This window comes from Homo sapiens, chromosome 5, assembly GCF_000001405.40.
Source record: "Homo sapiens chromosome 5, GRCh38.p14 Primary Assembly".
In the NCBI taxonomy this organism is placed as follows: Eukaryota; Metazoa; Chordata; class Mammalia; order Primates; family Hominidae; genus Homo; species Homo sapiens.
Window position 1 is genome coordinate 167,873,477 of NC_000005.10, and position 25,948 is coordinate 167,899,424.

General features: G+C 40.6%; 1 protein-coding gene across 30 annotated transcripts in view, besides 1 other annotated feature; it reads left to right on the forward strand.

Annotated features, from left to right (window-relative positions):
- Nucleotides 1-25,948, forward strand: part of TENM2 (teneurin transmembrane protein 2) — a 1,285,129-nt gene that overhangs the window by 894,448 nt on the left and 364,733 nt on the right. For 27 of the 30 annotated variants that reach the window (XM_047417418.1, NM_001395460.1, XM_017009661.2 and 24 more), the window contains one exon: nucleotides 2,510-2,719. The exons of the other annotated variants lie outside the window; for them this stretch is intronic. In XM_047417418.1, the coding sequence (XP_047273374.1) occupies nucleotides 2,510-2,719 (210 nt within the window). The remainder of the gene's footprint in view (nucleotides 1-2,509; nucleotides 2,720-25,948) is intronic. 30 annotated transcript variants of the gene reach the window in all.
- Nucleotides 12,449-12,686: a silencer, noted in NCBI's record as "fragment chr5:167312930-167313167 (GRCh37/hg19 assembly coordinates)". NCBI's record gives its function as "represses an EF-1alpha promoter that drives an FKBP-Casp9 reporter gene in an ReSE screen in phorbol 12-myristate 13-acetate-treated (for megakaryocytic differentiation) K562 erythroleukemia cells {active_cell/tissue: K562(+PMA)}" and the evidence as "EXISTENCE:reporter gene assay evidence [ECO:0000049][PMID:32094911]".

Genomic DNA, 25,948 nt, shown 5'->3' on the forward strand with positions numbered 1-25,948 from the left:
TGCGGTTTAACCTCTCTGGGTCTCAGTTTCCTCATGTATGAAATGGGAATGTGTTATTTCATTTTATGGGAATATATGATAATTCTAACCTCAAGGGACTGTTTTGAGGATTAAATTAGATAATACATATAAAGGAACTAGCACAGCGAGTGGCAGATAGTTATTGTGTAAGAAACATCAGCAGTTAAATTACTAATTATAATGATAGTTATTTTTGTTAGAAGGAGACCTGGGATGAGGGAGGTATTGATTAAACATTAGCACTGATTCTGATCAAACTCCATCGTGTTCAGTGTACCTTTTCCAGAACACCCAGCAAGAAAGTCATGCCTTATATGAATCCCAAACAGCCATGAATGAATGGAGTTTTTCAAGTCAAACTCCATTTATCAACTGGTCAATTTCAGGAATGATTTGTCTCCATTTCTATTCTGTTACTGTACAGGAGCCCCTAACATTTAAGCTTTAAGAGTATCTCATCTCCTATCTCTGCCACCCCCATCCTCAAAGGGTAATGGGCCAGTGGTTTGATGCCTCTGCTGCTGTTCATCCTGTTTTCTCTCTCCAGAAGTCACTTTCTTCCTCTTTGGACGTTTGCTCAGGTATCACCTTTCCCAGGAATCCTTATTTGACTCTAAACCCCAACTCCTACCTGGCCAGGCTGAAACAAGTGTCTCTTTTCTCTGTCCCCACAGCACCACGTCATTACATGCCGCTATTCTGCTTTTTATCATGTGGCACTGAAATGACACATTTACCTGTCTGTCTCCCACTAGACTATAAGCTCTCTGAGGGCAGGGGTGGTGTCTTACTTATTTTTGTATCCTCAATGTCTAGCGAAGTGCAGATACATTTTATTGAACCAAATGAACCCATAAATAGCATTAAATTCACTGAATAATGAATCAGAAAATACAATTATAAAAGCAACAATAAAAATGGACATTGATTTGAGGTGTCTGCTGATGTCTCTACATCAGCAGTACATCTAAAAGCAGGAACACACATTTCTTCTGTCTCAGGTACTTCTTACTTGCATTGCAACACTCACCTTGTCCTCAAGTTTGCTTTCTCAATGTTCTGTCCTTCCTTCCACACCCCCAGATTTAGGACATGTGCCATGGGTTGCTTCTCTTGGCTCATTTTCCTGAACTTCCCAAATGAGCAAACCAGCAGGCAAGCAACTGCAAAGGCCCCAAGATGGAAGGATGAAGCAGGCAAAAGTATAGGTGGTGATTGTCCTCACCCAGCAATTTGGCTGCCAGGAGCTCCCTGCCATGTGAAGGAGAGGATGCAGCAGCCTCTGTGTGGGAGGACAACTTCTTGACCCAAGGGCCGCTCCATGTCACTGAGCACCTTCTGCCGGACTGGCTGCTCCTCCTCAAGGCTAGAGAGTCTGTGCTTTTCTTTGTCCGAAAACCACAGTTATGGTGTCCCAAAAACCACATAATGAAGAGGGTGGGGACATTGGCCAACTCTTTGGGATGCCAATGCATCACCCTTTCCATCACTCTTCCACTTCTACCTCAAACTAATGAGTCTAGTTTTAGAGTACCTTATTTTTGGTCATTCATTCAGCAGATGCGATTCTTTAGGAAGGCATTGGTGATGCAGGGGGTGAATAAAATAAACAAGATGCCTGCATTCAAAGAGTAGTAAGGGCCATGAAGAAATGTAAGCAGAGTAGTTGCCTAGAGCAGGCAGATGGGCAAATTTCAAGAAGACAAACATGGAAGGGTTGATTGAAGAGAAGAAGTGAGATTGTGAATGTTGGCAAGGTGTTGTAGTTGGGGGTTGGGGGTGGTGTCCTGCATGGAGGGGACAGGAAGTGTGAAGACTCTGAAGGTGGAATGGCTTGGTGTGTTCAAACAACAGAAATAAAGATGACCATATTGGCTAGAGAATAAGGGGCCACGTGGAAAGTCGTAAGTGTTACTATGAGAGTGAGGTAGGAGAGGCAGCTATGGGCTGGAGTACTCAAGACAGGTAGGTCATCATAAGGAGTTTGGGTTTCCTTCTGCAAGCATTGGGAAGTCACTGGAGTGTGCTAAGCGGGCGAATGATACAATCTGATTCCTCACCTTAAAATTTCATTCTGGCTGCTGTGGAGGTAGGACTGGGACAATGGGGAGTAGATGGATTATGTGGCAAGAATGGAAGCAGTGAGACCAGCAAGGAGGTAGCTCAGAGAGAGATAATGAGGACTTAGATTAGGACTGTAGCAGAGGAGGTAAAAGAAACTGGATGGTTGCTAGACTGATTCCATTTGAGCTGTGTACATGGATATTTCTGCTCATGTCCTTTTTCTGAAATATGCAACTACCTAAAATATGAATTTAGACTTTTGGAGAAACATCAAACCACTCTTTTAAAAAAGCACATCTGGAGCAGTTCATTTCTTTTTTTTTTTTTTTAATATTTATATTGTGAGCTGGTTTCAATGTAACTTTCTTGGGGTGCTCTCGTGACACTCATTGCTGACCTTTGACCCCTCTGTCCTCTTTCCCAGGTCGTCCCATTCCACCTACATCCTCGCCTAGTCTCCTCCCATCTGCTCAGCTGCCTAGCTCCCATAATCCTCCACCAGTTAGCTGCCAGATGCCATTGCTAGACAGCAACACCTCCCATCAAATCATGGACACCAACCCTGATGAGGAATTCTCCCCCAATTCATACCTGCTCAGAGCATGCTCAGGGCCCCAGCAAGCCTCCAGCAGTGGTAAGGAAACTCCGTGGTGTCTGAATGTGTGGTGTTTCGTGAGTGACATTCTTGATTCTCCACCAAAATGACAATGCTGAAACAAGGGCTGGGGGAAGGTGGTGTGGGGAGCATCAGGGTGAAATGCATTTGTCATTTTGTGGCATGGTATTTTCAAGATACATCTGTAGAAGGTTGAAGTTACTTAAGAGGTTTTGCTTATCTTAACAGGATTTGGGCCTCCTTCAGTGGAAGGCATTTGCCCATTGCTACATGTGTGAGCATGCTGGTCTCAAAGGTGAAGTGCAGAGAGACACCGGCATATTGAATTTTGTATTACTATGGTTCTGGTCATAGCTGAGTGACCCTGGACACCCTCACAGGCCCAATTTGTGTGTATCTCAGATCCCTGGTTTGTTTTTTGTTTTCTTGTTGTTGTTTGTTTGTTTGTTTGTTTTGGCTTTTAACTTCTATTCCTTGCTTGTTTAGATGATTTTGAAATTACAATGTGTTCCGTTGACATCAGTACTGAATGTCTTGCCAAGTCTGAAGTGTTTGGGGGGTGACCTCTCCTGTAACCCTTTGCTTGTGACCTCACTAGAATTTGACAAGTTGGTGGTGTGGTACTATGGTAAATACTGCCTCTAAATCCATAGTTCTTATTTTGGTTTTCTCATTCATGGAACAGGGAAACTGGACCCAAGATCCTGTCCCACTTTTGAAGATTTTGTGGCCACTGTCTTAGCTCCCAATCTCTGAATCTTGGGTGGAATTGCCCTGGGCCCAGCGATAATCATGCCTTATTTTGATTTCTCCTGTTGGTGTTATGTTCCTGTGAACATCTGAACGTAGGAACGGGCAATAACTAGAGTATAAGTGTCCATGGCCCAGGGAGAGACATTTGCAAAAATTAATTACTCCTGACCTAAAGGCTTGGGAGTTATCTTCTGAACTGGTCAGTCATGAGGTTAATTAGCATATCCCATCCAAAGCAATACAGAGCTTTCCATGCCGAGAGTGGGTCTTGATGCGATTGTGTTTAGGCTCCATCCAGGAGTATATGCCACCCACCACTGGCCTCAACCTCTACAATTAGAGAGGACCTCCCAAATACATTTAAGATGACTCATTCTGGAAATGGAATGATGGACTGCTACTTAGGATGGCCCATGCCCTTCTTCATAGCCAGGCCTGATATATTTAGTAAACTCATATTCTTTTTCAAAAAAAATTACCTAATCAAATCTCTCATCAGATGAGCAATCCATTGTTGATATTATGAAGGCCTTTAATCTACCATAAATCTTTATTAGAACTCATCAGAGCTTCTAGTTTGAGAGAAATGTGATTATGGCACTCTTAAAATGACATTACATCATTGGGGTGATTGGTTTATCATTTGGAGAAGAGACATCAATCATAACTAGCATAACCACACAGTAAATGAATTCAACCTTTCTACCGCGGAACAATGACACTGTAATTGCTCAAAATCAGGCTTAAAATGAAATCGGAAAATGCTCTTTCTTCAAATATGATGTTAACTTAATGGAATATATTATGAAAAATCATGTTTGAGGAAATTCTATATAATTAAAAATATGTGGAAATATATTCCCTTTTTACTTTCATCAGAACCTGATTTTAGCTACAGAGCCCTTTTTTTGCTGCAGAGATTATGTTGCATTTAATTGAACTACCTTCGCTTATGTTTTGCTGCTTTTTATTTCATACTATGTAATCGTGATGAATATTGTATTATGAAGGACAAGAGGCTTTTGAAATGAGGTGCACCTGCTGATAGCTTTTTAAAAACAGACAATTATTAGGGATAAAATGAGCTTTTAAAAACTATATCCTTTTATGCATATATGGATACCCAGGCAATGATGATTTCCATAAGAGAGGTCAGTTCATATCTTGAGGCCATCTGGAATGTTTTCTTAGCAATAATGCAGTAAGTGATTTCCTTTCTTTTGGACAGTGTATCAGATTGAAACTTGTTGATAGGGTATTTATGTCAGCTTTATGCCTAATCAAGACCTCATTTTGGTGGACACAACAGATCTGTGTGTTCAGAGTCAAACTTGTCCATTTTTCGTCACTCACACCAATTTGTTCAGCTCACTTAAGACTGATAGCAATTTAAGCTTTAGTAACAGGAGAAAATGCCACAGAAAATTTAAGGGTCCATTTTCATCCCAAACAGGAGCTGTGCTGATATGATTTCTTCAACTGAGGGAGTGAAGGCCCAATTGTGCAATACCCTTGTTTTCAGCAGGTACTTATTATCAGAGAGTTTGTTAAAGCTCCGGTCAACAGGCAGTCATTAGAAATTCTGGACTCTGGCTTAGCTAAAATGAGAGCAAATCGAGTTCGAGTATGCGTGTGCTCACGTCTGTGTGTGTGTGTGTGTGTGTGTGTGTGTGTGTTTCTTGTGGAATGGGTTTAAGGTCCAGGGCAAATTGGGGATTCTATCAAGATTTGAATGCAGTTGTCATGAATTTAAATTTGACATAAAGGATTGAAAATTGAGTTTGACACGGAAGATGCAAAGTGCAGAGCTATGTCTGAGTGTTTTGAACTGAGTCTGATAAAAGGGGCTGAATTTTTCAGGAGGTGTCACAGCACAAACAAAGTGGCCTTGTGTTTGGGTGTGTTGTGTTTAGTTGGTTAATTACACAGAATTTTTTAAATTTGTCTCTTGGCAATAACCCTGTGTTCTGAGAATCTGGTACTACTTTGGTCTTTGTCTCTTTCTTAGGTGAAATAAAACACTTTCCAACACATCAGCCCATACACGACAGTAAAACATTATTTCCTGCTCTCCTCTTATAGTTGCTGTTATTATTTGATGTTGGTGAAGCCCATCATTAGGAGGGTCACAGTACACAATTCCTTCCCGAGGAGCACCTGTTCTATAGAAACAAATGGGACATAAACTACAGGAACGAAAATGTTTTTCCCCAACATGAAAAACTCCTCAAAGCAACAACAAAGCTTCACCTTTATGGCTTGAGTGTCATTATTTTCTATGACAGTGGTGCATTCTTTAGTGAATGGTACTAAAACCTTGCCACCTTTGGAGTCAAATTGCTCTAACCCTCAATCTATGCCAATCAAGTAGATACCCAGGTACAGTTAGTGAGATGTTTACGGGAGTGGTGTTTCTCTCCCCCTTAAGCATTTTCTTTCAAATAGCTGAGCTCCAGCGAGTGGCTCATTCTGTGTTCTGACCTTCTGCCAGAGCGGGTTGCTCCAGATATGTTTCTTGTATACAGAAGCATAATTTCAAATCCTATGGAATAACTCATCTGGAAAAAAAATCTAGATCCCAGCAGCAGCATAATGGAGGCCCCTGCAGATGGAAGAATGAGACTACCTTCCAAATCAGAATAGGGTTTGCAGTTTGCTCTCAGCATATGATGCAGAAAATATACAGGCAACCACATTATCTTCTAAAAGCACTGGCTTTCCTCTACCTGTGAAACATTGAGGTTTTTTTTAAAGTTTAAATAAAGGGGCTTTGAACACTCATTAGTAGCATCAAACTATACACATAAGAAATGTAGTAACCAAGATGCCCTAGCTAGGACATCTTGGTAGATCTTATGTGGCAAAAGAGCTGTCCCAGTCAGAGAGTCTCTGTTTGTAACTGAGCACATGAAGGGTGCCCTAACCCTTTTTAAAGAGCAATGCCTTAGTTAATTCTAAATGAAAATAGTATATCAAAATCAGCAGGCTTTGGGGTTGCCTAGGATCAATAAGTTGCCTGTCTAATTTATCTGGCATCATAAAACAAATGAGATTCATTCATTCATTCCTTTTTTGCACCTCCCTCATAATATGTAACAGCTTATAAAAATCGTTACTTTTTTTATTTTTGAGACAAAGTCTTGCTGATCCAGGCTGGAGTGGCGTGATCTTGGCTCACTGCAACCTCCGCCCCCCAGGTTCAAGTGATTCTCATGCCTCAGCCTCCCTAGTAGCTGGGATTACAGGTGCACACCACCATACTTGGCTAATTTTTGTATTTTTAGTAGAAATGGGGTTTCACCATGTTGGCCAGGCTGGTCTCGAACTCCTGGCCTCAAATGACCCACCCGCCTCAGCCTCCCAAAGTGGTAGGATTATAAGTATGAGCCATCACCCCTGGCCAACAGTTGTTAAAAAAAATTTTTTTCAGCTATAATTAGATGATACAATAAAGGTAAAGGAAAAATTTAAGGGAGAAAGTATACATATATGCTCAAATGTATAAAGTCCTATTCCATTATTTAAGATAGAGAACTTGATTTTAAGCTTCCTAGCAACCAAAGCAAAAAGGGAAACATAGGGAAAAGAAGATGCATAATACCCCATGAGATAAAAGCAAATCAGTCATTTCAGGGAAATTCTGGGAATCCTCACAATGAGGCCAGAAAGAAGTTTGTCATAAAGGAGCTCATGTGTGTATCCAGATGACTGGATTCTTAGTAACATCATATAATACATATGCTAATTTCCTGTCAAAATTCCTTGTAACCTCCCTTAAATAAGACATAGAGCGCACTTTCCATGTAAAAACAATTCTACAAATGTCCAATATTTGCACAGTCCAAGGGCAAAACTTGACTTGATCAATAGAAAAACCTTAGTTCTTATAAAGGACCATGTAAATTGCATGCCCTATAGGCAATAGACCTCAAATGTCATTGCTCATAACTGAATTTTTATGGGAATTAGCAGACTTTGAGGTTAAAGTCACCATTCAGGACCTGAAAAGCAGATGTTCTGTGTTACAGATTCGTCCTGACAGCCTCATAGAGGTTAGAATTGACATCCTCTCATGAAAACTTCAGGACAGCCTCCCTCACTCATCTGGCCCCTAATATCCATCCATGGAGATGGATTTGGGATGAGGAAGAAGTCAATATTTTTAACTTAATGAAACTTCTTCTCCTTATATATCTTAGGTTTTAGAAAGAAATTTTTCTCTGAGATATTGTAAATTTTCTTGCCTCCCTAAGCAGATTATGCACATTGTAATTTAATTTAATTTAGGATTCCCTGAATAGCTCACAGCAGTTATTATGCACATTGATGATTGTACAGTGCTGATAATACTATCTTGCTCTTTTCTACAAAAGCCATTGTACATCCTGTGGTTGTTTATCCCACTTCTCCTAATGTTCTGCATTGTAACTTCTTATTGTGCTCTTTATCAGCTTTTCTTCCTCCTCCCAGCTTCACTCCGTTCTTCAGGGACCTCCACTGCAGTTTCTCTGGTGACAGATTCATAGTAGACACTCCGTAAGTATTTGTTAAATAAATGAATGAGTGTCTATAGTAACCACCTTTATTTTTCACTCTTGATTTTGGGGTCAGGATATCAAGTGCAAACATCATTCACTTTCCCAAGTTGGATTTGTACCGCACATAAGCCACTTTGACTCCAGGTTCTTCCCCAAGTCCCTTGGATGTCTGGTTCAGACATTCAGAGCTACCTGCGGCTCCTTCCTGGCATCCAGGCAGAGGTTTGGTTCCAGCTGCCTCTCTTCTGGACAGGTTCTTGTCCCACTGGGTAGTACAGGCTAAGTCCAGCATGTTATCTTTGCTGTGGAGGTCACAGAAACAGCCATCCCTCTTGCCCCAAATGCAGAGCCACACAGGACTTGGGCTATCAGCTCATGGCCCTTTTTCTCCCTCAACTCTAGTTAGTATGCTAAGTACTTTACATGACTTTCTTCATGTACTTGTATTTAGTCCCTGCCACCTCCCAATGCATGAAGGATTATCATCATACCCATTTTCTAGATGACAAAACCACGGCACAAAGAGGTTAAGTAATGTACGAAAGTCACAAAGCTGGAAAGTGAAGGATTTCGGCTTCAACCTTAACCTTCCTAATTGCAGAGACTTTTCTCCTCACTCCTCTGTTAACTGTTAACCTCAGAATATTTGTTTGGCTGATTGAGATATACAACAGACAGTGAAAGCGTTGTATTAAAGGGCATGGGTTACAATTTTTTAAAGATTTCTTAAAACGAAATACAGCATCACAAAATACCCTTTACGCCCACTGTTTGGCAAACACACATATCCCCAGACACTTCCCCTGGAGATTCTGATTCCCTAAGCTCAGGAGGGGCTAAGGAACTCTGCATTTACCATTCCCTTCAGGTGAAGCATGTGCTCTGACAAGTCTTGGAACCATTAATGTAGTGGGAAGCTCTAAAGTGAAAGTTGGAAAACTTGAGTTTTCTTCACACTGCTCCTGATTCACAGCATGATTTTTGTCAAGTCATTCAATCATTGTATTAGTCTGTTCTCACACTGCTATGAAGAAACACCCGACACTGGGTAATTTATAAAGGGAAGAAGTTTAATTGACTCACAGTTCTGCATGGCTGGAAAGGCCTAAGGAAACGTACAATCATGGCGGAAGGTGAAGGGGAAGAACAGCACCTTCTTCACAAAGCAGCAGGAAGGAGAAGTGCAAACAGGGGTAATGCCAGATGCCTATAAAACCATCAGATCTCATGAGACTCACTCACTATCATGAGAACAGCATGGGGGAAACTGCCCAGTGATCCAATTACCTCCACCTAGTACCACCCTTGACATGTGGGGATTATGGGAATTACAATTCAAGATGAGATTTTGAGTGGGAACACAGCCAAACCATATCAATCACCATGAACCTCAGTTTCCCTATCTGATTAGATTGAGCATTGGCTTAAAAGGCCTCTAAGCTTTCTTCTTGTTCTAGTATTCTGTCTCTGTAAGCTCCTTGCATCTGGCTGGACCAAGCTGTCCCAATGTTAGAGGCTCCCCAACTCCTCCTCTGTATAGTGTGGATTTCATCCCAATATCTGGGACATTGTCAAAACTAAGGCCTACACAGTCATGCAAAGCAGATCCTTGTAACTTACATGCAAAAGTTGAGAAGAGTGGTTTTGGTATGCTATAACACTTGGCTGAAAATGTTGATGGCAATCCCATCAAGGAGAGAAAGTACAGCTCCACCAACACAAACCTGGGCTCCCAAAGACCCTCACCCTGGCCTCCTAAACAAGGTCTCCCACCTCAATAATTGGGAACAAATAGTCCTCAGGACTCTCTCGGCATTGTTAACTTGCCTAGCAATGTACCAAATAGAGATCAGACTTTTCCTTCTTTTCCTTTGTGCCTTCTTGAAACAGACAAATACTGCACATGTGCACGTGTGTGCACACGCACACACACACACACGTAAATGTGTAGTTTGTAGGTCCAGCAATTTCCAGCCCAACTAGGGTCAGGACCACTCTTCTGCACCATGGTGCAAATGAGCACACAATCAAGATGGACAGGTAATTCCTTTGGAGATGCACAGCATGGAAGTGACAGACGGCAGAGAACTGCTCTTTCTCAGCAAATAATCTTGATATTGACAAAATTCTCAGGGTCGATAGGCATTGTGTACATTCTACCTCTCCATTTCTGTCCCTGGCTTCTTGGTACATATAAAAAGATGTCCTAGGCAAGCCCAGAGACTGGGAACTACAAGTGATATCTTAACAGTTTCGTGCCCTAGTAATTTTTACCCAGAACTTCAGCTTCTCGCAAATTCACTTAAAGAGTACATTCAATTCTAACTAGCTTCCTGCGTAATATTCAATAGTAATTTTTAAAAGTGTCCCCAGTCCCTTGTTAGGGATGTCTCAATTCTTGGGTTGAATCAAAGGATTTCATTATTTTAGCAGTGGGTAGTTTCAACAGAAATTATAGCCCCAGCCCTGGGTACATCTCTTAGACCCATACCCAAAATAATCATGAAGAGTGTGGACTCTGACGTCCATACTACATGCTTTCAAATGATAGCTCAGCCACTTTCTAACACTATAATCTTGAGCAACTTACTTAATCTATATCTCAGTATTTTTGTCTGTAAAACAACAATAAGTGTCTACAAGTCCTAAAGCTGTTATAAACATTTAAATGACATTCCGATACATCTAAATACCGTTAAAAGAGGCTTAGACAATTGAAGCAATGATTGGGTTTGAGAGTACTTGTTTCCTAATTTAACAAACAATGTTCTATTGTGGGCAAATATATATAACATGAAATTTACCATTTATACTATTTTTAAGTGTAGAGTTCTATGGCTTTAAGTATGTTCACATTGTTATGCAACCATCACCACCATCCACCTCTAAAACATATTCATCTTCCTCAACAGAAACTCTATACCCATTAAACACTAACTCGCTTTCCCTCAGCCCCTGGCAACCACTATTTTATTTCTGTCTCTATGAATTTGTGTCTAGGTACCTCATATCAATGGAATCACACAGTACTTGTCCTTTTGTGATGGATTTATTTCACTTAGCATAATGTCTTCAAGTTTCATCCATGTTGTAGCATGTAATTCTACAGGACAGAATTTTCTTCCTTTTAAAGCTGAAAACTATTCAATTTTCCTTATATACCACATTTTGTTTATTCACTCCTCCCTTACTAGACACTTCGGTGGTTTCTACCTTTTGTCTATTGTGAATAATGCTGCTAGGAATATTGGTGTACAAATAATTGTTTGAGCACTTGCTTTGACCTCTTTTGGATGTATAACCAAAAGTGGAATCATTGAATCATACAGTAATTCTATACTTAATTTTTTAAAGATTTGACATGCTGTTTTGTACAGTGTCTGTACCACTGTACATTCCCACCAGCAATACACAAGGGCTCCAGTCACTCTACATCTTCTCCAATACTTGTTACCTTCTGTGTTTTTGATAATAGCTATCCTATTGGTGTGAAATGGTATTTCTTCATGGTTTTGATTTGCATTTCTCTAATGATTAGTTCTTTTCATGTGCTTATTGCCTGTTTTTATATCTTCTTTGAAGAAACGTCTATTCAAGTCCTTTGCCTAATTTTTAATCAGATCATTTGTTTTTTGTTGATATTGTTGAGTTGTAGGAATTCTTTATATATTCTGGATACCAATTGCTTATCAGATAGGTGATTTGCAAATATTTTATCCTATTGCATAGGTTGTCTTTTCATTCTTTGATGGTGTCCTTTGATGTGTAAAAGTTTTTAATCTTGGTGTGGTCCAGTATATCTATTTTTACTTTTGTTGTCTATGCTTTTGGTGTCATGCAACAAATACTGTTAAAGGCTTATTCTATGGCAGCCATTGTTCTAAATTTTTACAAATGGTAATTCATTTAATCCTCACCACTGAGAAAGTGAAAAGCAGCTCTTGATTCTGGGAACAGACCTGACAATAACATCTAGGCTTAGGTGCATTAGGAGCTGGCTTGTCACTCACAACTAGGTTGTAGTGTTCTCCTACTGAACATAAACAATTTTACAGAACCCAAGCACGAGGCCACTCCATGGCTGTGGTGACATGAAATAAGATGACAAGAAGACCACACCATGATCTTGCCCCAATACAGACAAAACCAAAGTCACTGTCCAAAAAACAAAAATACAAAACACCCTTCTCTCTAGGCTAAAATGGGTGATTACTGGTTTTTTGTTTTGTTTTTGAGATGGAGTCTCGCTCTGTTGGCCAGGCTAGAGTGCAATGGCATGGTCTTGGCTCACTGCAACCTCCGTCTCCCAGGCTCAGGTAATTCTCCTGCCTCAGCCTCATGAGTAGCTGGGATTACAGGTATGTGCCACCACGCCCAGCTAATTTTTGCATTTTTAGTAGAGACTGTTTTCACCATGTTGGACAGGCTGGCCTCAAACTCCTGACCTCAGGTGATCCACTCGCCTCGGCCTCCCAAAGTGCTGGGATTACAGGCATGAGCCACTGCACCCAGCCCACAAGCCCTTTCTAACATTCTTACTGAAGCTCCCTTCTGGCTCCCCTTGTGTGTCTTCTCCCTCATAGCAATGAGTTAATCAACTGTGTTTGGCCACAGTGTGCTCCTGCCTGGTGGTGTTTTGGCTAGAGGACATGGACACCATTAAGCTGTGAATTGGGATTATTATCCCTGTTGTACAGGTGGGAAAACTGTGGCACAGTGAGGTTAAGTAATTTGCCATAGGATACATAGTTATTAAGCAGTACAAGAACTTGACCCAAAGAAACTGGTCTCCAGAGTGATATATAGAAATTTAAGTGAATTTTTAAAAGACAATTCCAGAAAAAATATATATATTCAAGAAATAAAATGTAGTCATCATTTACCGCATGGCCCAGCTCTGAATAGCATTTACATGGCCACAGTAATGTAAACATTGAATAATGACTTAGCTATTAAATCAGAAGGATGAGAGGATATGTGGGCTGGGCAGATAGAGGAAAAAGCCAAGACCTGCATCTTTTATAGTAAGAAGTTACAAGATAATGCAAGAAGTTACTAAATAAAATGGAAAATGCAAGAAATAGCAGCAAAGCATGTTATTTATAGAACTGGAGATAAATACCAAAATAATTAGCTATAAAAAGGTAAATGTGGTTGCTGCTGGGAAGGAAGAAATTGGCGGTGATAGAAGAAGATTGCTATTTTTGAACTGAACGTTATAGAACGATTTAATTCTTTAAACCATGTGCACTTTTTTCTTCTGATGAAAAGAAAACATTTACATGAGATTGGGCAGGCAAAACACTTAGTACAATGTTAAAACCCCAAAATAGTAGCTGTTTACTTCTCTCAAATATATTTTATTCAACAAGTATGTATTGATCAGGGCCGATGTGTTTGAAATGACATCAGGTGCTGTGAACCTCAGTAGTTAGGCATTGGAGCACTTGCGTCAAACCCACAGATGGGTCTGTATCTGCCTCTGTTGATTAGGGAGCCCTGTGGAGTTGTTGGGGCTTTAGCTCTTTTTCCCAACACAGCTTAGGATGGCATGAGAACAGAGAAGATATCATGACTACTATTCCTCCTCATTTCTAATCCAGTGTCCATCTAAGCACAGGTACCATCATTTCCTCAGAGCTTTCCCAACCAACACTGCCCAACTAGAACTTCCCTTTTTCAGAATTACAGAACAGCTTTATAGTCTGCCTTATTCAATTTAGCACCTCATTGCATTCTGATTTGTAATATTCTCTTGGCATTTCATGCATGTAAGTCACTTGTGTCAACATTAAATTGTCACCACTTAAAGACAAGGGTCATTTCTTTGGTCTTTTTGTGTCCCTTAGCACATGGTGCAGGTAGAGATACGCTCAAGAGCTAGATCCTTATTGATCTACCTTAAGAAGGACAATGTTAGAGTGGGGCAACAAAAAGGTGGCAGCAGCCCCCACCCAGTCCTTCAGATTTGGGCCTGTTGACTGCAGGTCACTGTAACATTTTTAGATCTGAGACCATCTGTGATTGTGGATGTGATCACATTTAGAAAGAACAGAAAAAATACCACAGGGCATGATGAGAAAAGAAGTGTGTTTGTCTAACCTGCGTCTTCCTTGGGAAGGACAGAGAGGTGTGAATCCAAAATAACAGTTCTTTCTTCATTTGTTTAGTAGCTGCTGTCCTGAGTTGATGTTGCCTTGGAAATAGTTGCTTTCATTGATAAATGTTTTGTAGGGTACAGCTACAATCCTAGGGAATGCATGCGCTTAGTGTATGGATTCATTTGCTGGAGCTGCCCTAACAAAGTACCACGAACTAGGTGGCTGAAAACAACTGAATATTATTCTGTCACAGTTCTAGAGGCTACAAGTTCCAAACCATGCTCCTTCCAAATGCCCTAGGGAAGAGTCCTTCCTTGCCTCTTCTAGCTTGTGGTAGCTGCCAGCAACCCTTAGCATTCTTTGGTTGTGGCAGCATAACTCCAGTCCCTGCCTCCACCTTCTAATGGCCCTCTTCTCCCTGCGTGTGTCTGTCGGTCTCTAACTCTCTCTCCTTATAGGGATACCAATTATTGAATTTAGGGCTCGTCATAATTGTGGATAAATTTATTTGAATTAAGTCTGCAAATAACTTCACAAGATCCAAATAAGGTCACATTCCCAGCTATCAAGAGTCAGGACTTCATATCTTTTGGGGAAACACAATTCAGCCCACAACAGAATCCAATTGAATACTCAGCAGGATAGAGCAACTAGAAATAGCTCCCTATGTCTTCTCTATTATTGAACCCACCATGCTCGTTGACTGCATTCACCATTAGATTTAAGTTCTTTGAAGGCAAGCACCCTGTTTCCCTTGTGTCTCATTTCGTTCTATGCATTTAGCTACCACTGAGCCTGGCACATAGCAGGTGCTCAATAAATATTAGGTGAATTAACAAATAGTGCATGCAGTCAAAGGATGGAGGAAAGGTATGCAGAGGGTATTTGCAATATCCAAAGAATGGTCCAAAAAAAAAGTGGAGGCAGACCCTTTCTCACATGCTGGCTCCCTCTATCTGCAGTAGGAGAGACAGAGAATGAAGAAGGCATTTCTGGATGATGGCATAGTGCAACATGAATGGCAAAGAAAGCCAGAAGCAAACAGAGAAAACCAATGTAGTTAATATTTAAACTCTAGAATCCAAATAAACTAGTTAAACATAGAAAAACTGTTTTGTGTGGTGCTTTAAAATTCTAGCTCAGGCCTTTCCTTTGATTCCCCCAGGGCCAATACCAGCTCTCTCTTTTGTCATTTCCATCAGATCTTTTGTTTTACGATTTCTGTTGCTTATTATCCTTATTCCTTTCTGGTGTTTATAAAGCCAAAGATGAGGGGGCACATGCATTCTTGATACTGAAGCATTTAGGCGGTTATCACTTAAATTAATGTTTTCTGCTAGAGTTATATTTTAGTGGAAAACAGTAATTGTTTCTAAGACAGCATCTTGGAGTTGAACCAATTCTATCAGTGAACACTCAACCATGGGAAGCTAACAATAAAATGCAGTGATCAATCGTTCTTCTTTTCTCTCTTCCACTCCAAAGGCAGACTTCACATCTCTTTGCTTTAAAAAACAAAACAAAACAAACAAAAAAACCACACAAAAACAAAAAAACTAAACTGATGATAGAGCACCTTTTTAACACTTCAGCAGAACAGTTTCCCCATAGAAAATGACCCCCAAATTTATCTTTATTGCGACTTCCCACCCCTCACCCTCACTTAGAATTTACAAAGATGCCTTTGCGTAAGTTATAACCTTGCAAACCTCTGCTTTTGAATTGTGTTGATGTCCACTGTGGACGGAGGGCTGTGGGACAGGACTATCTTCCTGCATGCCAGCTCCCCGAATAATTCCACGATGCAATTGGTGGCATTCACACTTGACTAGGATCGCATTTCAATCTGTTCCATCTGATTGGATACCGTGTTTTCTTCCCGTCTGTGGTAATGGAGCACTCGTTCCCAGTTCCCAAGGTTATTTTCATCTCAATGACCTTTTGCATCTCCCTGGGGAGCCTGACCATTACCCACCCCCCTTTCACTCTGTCTGCTTAGAATATTGCTTTACATGTCGCTCTTCCTGTAGTAACCACTGTCTTTGATACATTCCTATCAGCGATTTTGTTCCTGTGGGAGCAGTGATCTTTACCAGTTTGTGACTCTCCCTCTTTCTCTGTGGGTTCTTCTCGTGGTCTTACAGCTCAGTTCAAGCAATTTGCTTTTAAAGATGAAAAGAGATAGGCTGGGACACCACCTGTTTACGACATTAGGATGCTGGGTTTCTGATTTCTTTTGCTAACCTGCGTGCCTTCTCGTGAAGACTAAAAACTGGTTAGAATATAAAAGATGGAGGATCTGTTGTGAAAATAATTCACAGGGAGGGGAAAAAGTCATATTACACTAGGCAGACTTGGCCTTTTCTGCCGCTCTTTATTGATCTCAAATTGCTGAAAGGGTTCAGAAGATAAAAAGAATCTGTGAAACAAAGAAAGGAAACCATGGTGAAGAAAGAAACGGCCCTGATATGGTGGCAGCCAGAGAATCCGTCTGAGTCCTAATTCTACCCAAAACTCACGGTGTCCCCTGGGCAGACCCTTCTCCTCTTGGGCCCTCTGTTTTGTCTTTTGTAGTGTTGGGAGGCTTTGAGTCAGATGTTTTGAAAGTTCTTTTCCAACTTTCAAATATCATGATTCTAGGAAAAGACTGAGAACTAGGCACGACACATTATTCCACTTCCAATGATGTGCTGAGTCGCCGAATCTGTCGCCTCTCTTTAAAAACACACAGAAACAACTTTTTCCTCCCAAAGGGAGGAAACTAAAGCTGTTGCCCCTTTCTGGATTGGTGATGATAATGATATTAAATAATAATCATCATCACTTATGTTTGTGTAATATTTTCTATTTCAAGGAACAAGATCATGTCCTTTCCTTTAGGTTGCAAACATCTGACCCTTGGTCAAAGGAGCTTGCAAACCAGTTTGATTTGTCCTGCTTGGTATTATTTTTAAAATTATGCTTTATTTAGGTGACAATGTTGAAAAACCAAGAGACGTACATAAACATTCATAATTCTATCCTTCCTGAAATAATAACATGCCTAGTAATACCTACCTGCATTATGTCATGGCCACAAATCACTAGAGTCCAGTAGAGACTGCCCGTTTGAGATCAGGCATGATCTTTTAATTTATTCATGTATGAGATTTGCATGGCCTTTGTAGCATTTGTATCTTCAATCTCAGTTATCTAGCTTGTTGGCATCAATGATGATGATAATGATAATGATGATGATGTTACCACTGCTAATGTCATTAACAATAATCTCCATCTCCATGTTGGCACACCATCTTTACTTTTAGGAAACACTATCATGTGTATTACCTATTTAAATCCCCACTACAACCATCTGGTGAGGAAGATGTAGAAGGTATTATTATCTCTACTTAACAGATAATCCATTTGAGGGATAAAAATTTCAAGTGACTTACTGGTGGACCATATTTAGTCTAATGATCTCAAACTTTCCACTATCAAGGTCTTTTTAAATTTTCTTAATGTACTCTATGTTTTGTAGGACTTGGTCTACCTATTCACATGTATTTAAAAAAAATAGGTTGTTTACTTATTTTGTGTTACATGAAGATATATAGATAGATAGGTACCTCTAACCTCTACTCTCAATGATGTATTTGTTTACCAAGTACAGTTGTAACTGCTAATAGACAAATTTTGTGGTTCCTTTGCACAATTACTCTCTTTTTTGTTTGTTTCTTTGTTTGAGACAGAGTCTCCCTCTGTCACACAGGCTGGAGTGCAGTGGTGCAACCTCCACTCACTGCAGCCTCAGCCTTCCCAGTTGAAGTGATTCTCCTGCCTCAGCCTCCTGATTACAATTACTCTTCATTTCAGTGCTTTCCTAGCTGGACTTCTTAACAAGTACATACAATTAGGAGGAAGGAAAGCTTAAGTGGGCCATGAAAAGGTCAGGTGAGTTTTAGGGATCCTGGACCCAATATCCTTATTACATAGCTGGGGCTTATGCTGACCCACTAAGATCAGTGCTAAGGGAGTTACAAGCAGAATTCAAACTCAAGTTTTTGTTACTGTTTTTATGTTTGACACGGGAGTATACAGCATGGGAGATCACCTCACCTCTGGCTCTGAGGTTGGTACTCAGAAGCTGTGGACTGTCAGCATATTTTGATTAAACACCTATCATGTGTCCACCATGTCACAGGTGCTGGGCATTGCCTGGGTCTGAAGATCTATCATCGCATCTGAGCCAGGTCCTTGGCTTCCTTCTGGCATTCTGTTTGACACTGATGAGTTCTGAGACCTTGCTGGCCTTGACTTGCCCACTTCCTCACAGCAGCACAGGCTCAGCATGAGATCCTCTTTTCCAGAATAACCCAGAGACTTCCTGGACTTGATTGAGTTGTAGCTTGCTTTGGAAAAGATTCCAACTTTTACAAAGTGAAATTTCCTATGCTAAGCAAACTCTATTTATATTTTATTGTATTCTGTTGTCAGATGCTGCAAGTACTTGAAAGGAGCTTGTGATATAACATATTCTTGATTGTAATATAGCATTGTAAGCACATTATGGACTGAATTACAACATTTCATGAGAAGAAAAGAGAAGTGCTACATTAAACGTACACATTATTCATAAAGCTTCTAATTCCAGGAAAATTAAACTTGAAAAAATTATTTTCCAGAATGGATGATCTGTAGCACATAGGTTCTTATAAGTCAAATACAGTTCCTTATAAATACATGGAAGATATGTGCCCAACTCATATGCAGGCCTAGAGTAGTAAGTTTTGCACAACCTGAATCAAATTAGGTCAGTCTTCTAAGAAACATTCCCATGTTACAATGCAACCAAACTTTAACAGGGCCTCTAGGCAGAGGAGTGGTTTTCCTCTCTTGGGTGGAGAACCAAAAATGTAGCACTCTTCATTGTCAAGGTGTATAGCAAAGCATAGATCATGAGGGGAGAGCTTACACAGAATGGCATGGCATATGCCATCCAGAATCCACTGTGCAGCTGCTTAGGGATAGGAGTGTTTCCATTTTCAAAACCACATAAGTTTCAGAGGTCAAGCTTAGCAAAGCAGCTTGAAAAGTGTGTACTTAGTAGGCTTGGGGAAAAGTTGGAAGCCCATGCCCTCATTTTGCCTCGATTATAGTTCTGCAAAAACCCTCTCTTAAGAGCTCCAAAGTCTATGCCTTATTCCCTTCCCCATTTGGACTATTGTTACCCTGGGCAAGTTCTTTAATTAACTTCTCTGTGTTTTAGTTTCACCATTTATAACACAGAGATAATTATACTTCAAGATAATGTGTGGAAAAAAATACCTCTCCATTGCACAATGAGAAGTGGACATGCAAGTTATCATGATTGTTTATTAATAGCAATAACATCCCACATGAACAGTGGAATCAGCACTCTTCCCCACAGAACTCAGAACCTTTGTCCTGATTAACTCATTATGACTGACATTAACTCTGAGATTTTGCTGGCGGCAATGTGGAGGGAGAGTATTACCTTTTGGCTAGGTTTCTTCTTGTCCTGAGGTCTTTTTATTCTTCATCGGCACCTCCTGTAAGTAACTGGGTTTGGGCTGCTCAGAAATTCCTGTCTGTGATAAATAAGGGAAATTTCAGACAGGATGGTAACTCCATAGCTATTCAGGCCAAAGAGTTGGTAGACCATTAAAAACAATTCACATCCTTCATGTTCTGGGTTTAAATATGCATATTTCCATGGTCTTACTCCCTCCAAAATTGGTCAGACCAGTTCAAGGTTGGATGACAGATGTGAGCAAATCAGCGTCAGACAAGTTGAGCAGACTTTAACTTCCTATATTGTAGTAGAAAATTCCTCTCATAAAACAACGAGGCGCACGTATCAAGACCCCTGCTGTGTCCAATTAGACTTCTTTAAAAAGGAACAACCTCTTTAACTCTGTGAGTTTCTGGGGGCTGTTTATCTTTTCCTTTTGGCTTATCACAACTCTTAAATTACCTTGGCATATGCTTCGTTGCTAGTATTTTCTTGTATTTTCTTTTTTTCCGTTGCCACAGGAAACAAACAAAAAAGGTTTTTTTGTTGTTTTTTTTTTTTTAGTAAGAGGCATTTCAAGAACGTGTTAGAGGGAGAAAGAATGTTGCTTAATGAAATAAAGAAGAGATAATTTCCAAACGCTTTTAAAACTACATAGTAGGACAATCATTCAAGTATGGGATGCACCCTTAAGCAAGATTAGGTCTTATGGGTGACAGAGGAACTAAGTTTGGTGTGTCAGCCTTGATTTCTTATTACCCTAGTTCCTGCGCTTCATACAAATTTAAGATCCAAGCAATTATGCCTAACGTGCTCTTGAATACGGTAAAATCATGCATTTTATGTAGTCAGTAATAAAAATACTGCAGTCGTTTTTCCATCCAAAGATACAGTCCCATTATGAATAATGAGTCCTAGAAAAATATAGCAAGGTAGTCCAATGCGGCAGCATAATCATTTATGCATCTACCAAACCTCTTTCACAGTTCAAGAAGTTTAATAGACGATCAATTCCTTGAGGGCAGAAGCTTTCTTATTTATCTTTGTATCTTTGTTACCCAGTAAGCACCATTCCTGGCACATCAAAAATCACAGATGATGGATGGATGGATGGATGGATGGATAGATGATGAATGGAGAAAAAATACTTCCCTCTTTTGGTCTTTGAAGTTTCTGGGTATTACCAGTGAAGATACAGAGTATAGGGCAAGGTTCTCATACCTAACAATCAGGCCAAACCAGCACGTTTAATAAAATGTTTTTTCATTGCCCTTAGAATAAAACCCAGATCGTTTATTGTGGCTAGTGTGATGTGATTTGGCCACAGGCTAACATTCATAACTTCAGCTCCTTCCATTCTCCTTTTCTCTCCCCACTCTGTGACTAGACTTCTTTGCATTCTTTGGAAACATCCAAACTCTTTCCTCTGACAGCCTTGTACTTCCTGTTCCATCTGCCCAGAATCTTTCCCCCTATCTTTCCATGGCTGGTATGGTCATTCACTATACTCAAATATCATTCCTTGGATACCCCTGCCCCATCCAAATTTGTTCCCCTCCTCCCTTTCAGTATCCTCAACACCCAACAGTGCCCTGCACTTAGTATGCACTCCATAAATATCTGTTGGATGGTTGACAAATTATTGTGCATATTTTGCAAATATTTAATGTTACTATTGTATATTTAACTTAAAAATTACTGAGGTTTTTCTTCTTCCCAAACTCCAATTAAAAAGCAAACAACCAAAAACTCAAAACAAAGGTGAAAATGTTTCTTTTGTTTTATTCTCGTAACTTACTAGAAGCTAAGAGGTTGCCTCTTCTACTCACCCTGGAAAGAAGGAAGGAAGGAAGGAAGGAAGGAAGGAAGGAAGGAAGGAAGGAAGGAAGGAAGGAAGGAAGGAAGGAGGGAAGGAAGGAAGGAAGGGAGGGAGGGAGGGAGGGAGGCAGGGAGGACGGAAAACTTAGAAAAGACTGAATTAAACAAAGCTTAAGAAAAACAGAGTCGTAAAACTTCTCAGGGCCTTTAACATGTTTATGTGAACTGAGACTTTCTATTAGAATAGAGGCTTTACTTCTCAAAGTTATTTGACCAGAGAGCATTTTTCCTCCTCCTCTCCCTCCTCCTCTTCCTCTCCCCCTCCTCCTCTTCTCCTCTTCCTCCTCTCCTTCCTTCTTCTTTCTCAGAGTACTTTTGAGACTAATCTTTGATGGCATACATTTTGGGAAACAATAAAGTAGGAACCACCATCTGCTGAGCATTTTCTGTGCCCTAGGCACTGTACTAGGCATTTTAAGTTTGTCACTTGCTTTGGTTCTCGTCCTTTCATTAATGAAGGAAATGAGCCTCACAGAGTTTAGCTAACTTGACCAAATGCATGTAACCATCAAATCAAGCACAGCAGCTACGATTTGAACCATTGCTGCTTGATTCCAATGGCTTTGATCTTCTCACTGCTATGTACTACTTCGCAAAATATTACTTCTAATTAATTAAAACAGAGGTTCTCACTCTCAAATACATACAAAGCTTATAAAATACAAACTCCTGGACCCTATGCCAGATTTATTTAATTCACTATGTCTGAGTTGGGATCCAAAAATTTGCATTTCTAGCAGGCTCCCAGGTGATGCCTGTTTCTCTGGCCTGGGGCCCACATTTTGAGAACCATTGACTTAAAGCCCTGCGATTCCTGTTTAATGATCTTTGCAATAATGTTATTAGAAGCTTAAGAAGCTGAAGACTTTTTCAATTAGTTTATACTGCCTTTGTTAATGCAGAGAACTAGATAACAGGGAGCTCAACAATTCATTTCAATTCCACAAATGTTTATTGAGCATCTACTGTTATAGACGTTATGCAACATACAGGAAATCTGAGATAACTAAGACCAGGTACTTGGCCTTAAGGGTACTTTAGTCTAGTTAATGGCAGCATGAGGTGGATGAAGCTTTAAGAAGAACAAAAGCAAACAGATGGTTGTGAGTCAGCAGGTCAGGCAGTCTGATAGATGTCGACCCAGTGCCAGCATGGCACATCGCGGCCCTCCCCACCTGGGCTAGAGCTGGGACTGGGGAAAGCCTTCCCACAGAGATGGCACCTGATTGGCATCCTAATCATGATCAGTAGTCAGCTGGGGTGGAGGATTTTAGGAAATGCCAGCAGCAAGTGCAAAGGCTTGGAGAGACGAGAAAACATGGGGCCTTTGGGGAAAGCTTGAATAGCTAAAGGAAAGACTAGCACACAGATGTGTCCAGATTTAGGTTAGCAGAGGGGAATGACTGGATTGAGGCTGGAATCTGGCTGTGAAGGCCCTTGTCTGCCTTCCGTGGATTATACACAAAAGTCAGAGCAATGTTTAAGAGAACTCATGGTTGAGACATGTGGCTTCCAACCATTCTTCAGGCATGCATTCCTTTCATAAATAACTTTGCAACCCTACTGGCTGATGAGGGCGGTACAAAGAGGATTGAAACACTGAATCTGTCCTCTAGGAAGAGAAATAAAACATTTACAATCTAAAATCCAATACAAAGGTGGAAATGTGCCCTTATTAAAAAGCACGGAGACATAGGAAGAAGTCCTGGAACAGCAAAGAGGGAAAGGTCACTCCATTTATGATAACTCTGGTAAAAGAGTCAAAGATGGGAAGCAAAGCAGGTGCCATTATCAACCTCGCAATACCTTTATGGATATTTTTACAGATGGTTCTCTTAGTCACCTCAAAGAGTGCCAGGATAGAAGCTGGGAAGTGGAAACTCCGAAAGCTGTTAGAGAGGAATTGCCTTTAGAATCACGCTTGCTTTTTCCTCGTTGCTAAAACGTCCAGAAAATAGCTAGCATGTGCGTTTCCCCAGCCTGATTAAAGAGTGCATGTGCAAGCCTCTAAATAATTGCTGCATGAATCTTTATAACCACCCGAAATGAGCTTAACTCGGTTGGTCTACGATGGCAGAAAGGCTTATAATGTGAGGCTCATCATTCTATCACGCATCAAAGAATGGGAGGCAGAAGCCCTGTTCCATTCTCCCCTCGCTTCCTGATTAATCCACACTTTTAGAATATGAGTAAGGGCTGACTGATGAGCTGGTTTAGTTTAGCTTTGTAGGATTTTTCCTCCAATTTAGCAAGCAATGAGGACCCGCACTATTTCTACTCTTTCATTTGGCTCTTAAGTCTCATTTGTGCCATTAGCTGAACTGGTACCTTTTTTTTTTCCCTCCTGCTCAGAATTCAGAGACTTGTCCTTCTCTTGTAATTATAAAGTGCTCACAATCAAGACAGCCCTGGTAAACTTTTCTTTTTGGCACAAAAACAATATTAGCTAAAGAGCTGGTTGTAACACAGATGCTTAGAAAAAGTAGGAAAAAATCAGGTCTTAAAAAGATTTATAAACCCCATTCCAGCTTGTATTCATCATCTTCCTTTCTTGCTATACACCCTGGAGAATAAAGGATGCTATTTACAATGATCCCTGTCAGGAGATGTTGAATACAGACTTATCTGCCTGCCAGGTCACAATTACCTTTAAAATCTAAATGAAATGAAGGAAGAGAAACCGCATTTTTCCCAGTAATGGGATATTCCAGCCATAGTCTCATTGGCACCCACAGTCTTTGCCTCATTTGTGAGGGCTGCCTCAGGTTTGTCAAAGGGTCCTTATTTTAGAAGAAAGATATACAGATATATAGATATATAGATTGATAGCTAAGTAGGTAGATATAGGTAGGATGGTATGGAGAGAACGAAACAGAGAACTAAGTTTATGAGCCTGGGAATTTCAGTTGGGTAATCCGTAGTAAATTGTTTTTTTTTTTTTTTTTTTTGCATCTGCTGGGCACCGGGTACTACCTTAAACATTGGAAGCAGCATGAACTCCAGCCCCTTCGTGGTGGGCAAAGTGATTGGAGAGGCAAGAGATTTGCACACAGAAGACATGACTTCCCCCTACCTCCTGCTGATCTGGGTTTGTCATTGAAGAGCCCTTTGCTATAGCATTGCTTAGGACTCCTTAGTTTACTCAAACCTAATGAAATGTGGTTTTCCTCTCCATAAACCACCTTTGGATGTTGCCAATAGAGAGAATAATTTACTGCTATGGTTCTCAAATTTTGGTCCTCACAGACAAACAACATCACCAGCTCCTGGAAACTAGTTAGAAATGCAAGTCCTCAGCACTCTACCTCTCTCCTTTCCCTGGACCTAGGGAATTGGAAATTCTAGGGGTGGGGCCCATAAAGCTGTGGTTTAACCAGCTTTCCAATGAGTCTAATATATGCTAACGTCTGAGAAGCACTGATCTAGTAGCTTGGACTTGCTTAGCTATCCCTTTAAGCTTAAATTGGCAGCCTAGGCCAGTCACTGGAATCACCTCAGGAGTTTGAAACAATGTAAATGCCGGGATGCCAACCCAGAAACTCTGATGTAATAGGGCCAGGCAGCAGCCTGGACACCACAGTGTTTAAAAGCTGCCCAGATGCTCTTGAGAAAGAGTTCATATGGAAGCAAGTGTAAGAGGAGCTGGGGGAGAGAGACTGGAGATGTACAGATATTTAGTTGATTACTGCAAGACCTAAACCAGGCTCTCAGCATTAAGGAGAACCTTGCCTAAGGCTAAGTCACTGGGTATAGGAGTTGCCAGGGACTTCATCAGGAAAGAAGGTAGAGAGCCATAGGCTGGATGAATGTGGAGGGAAATGAGAAGGAGGAGTCAAAGATAGCTTTGAGTTCTTGAGCATGGCTAGTGTGATGAGCCCTTCTTAGGAAAAGCAAGAATGGGGATTGGGAGGGAAGGAGATCTTCGTTTGAGCGGGGGATGGGAAATAAATTTGAATCTGAAAAGGCGTGGATTGGCTCGATGGTCATATCCAACAGACAGCTGAAACTTTGGGTCTGGATTTCAGGGAAGAGAGGCAAGAGGGAAGAAAAGAATGGAAGGGAAGAGAAGATAGAGAGGAATGAAGGGAGGGGGAAGAAGAGACAATGAGAAACACTGAGAGAGATTTTGCATTTTTAAAGCCTGTGACAAGAATTCCATTACTGAAAGAAGAGCATTTGCTGAAAAGAGAAAAGAGGAGAAAGAGGACCGAACCTCCAATAATGCCTGCATGTGCAGGGGAAAAAATAGAAAGAGAAGAAGAAAGCAAAAGGGGCAAGAGTTAGGAGAAGAGTCACGTTAATGTCGCATTATCAAAGCTAAAGAAAGAGTAGGTTGGGGGATGGGTGCAGGAAAGGTCAATTGCCAGCAATACCAAACGCCAAAGACAGGCAAGGAGGGTGAGATATTTCAGGCAAGAAGAAAGCTTGCAAAGTCATCATGATAGCATAGTAATAATAACAA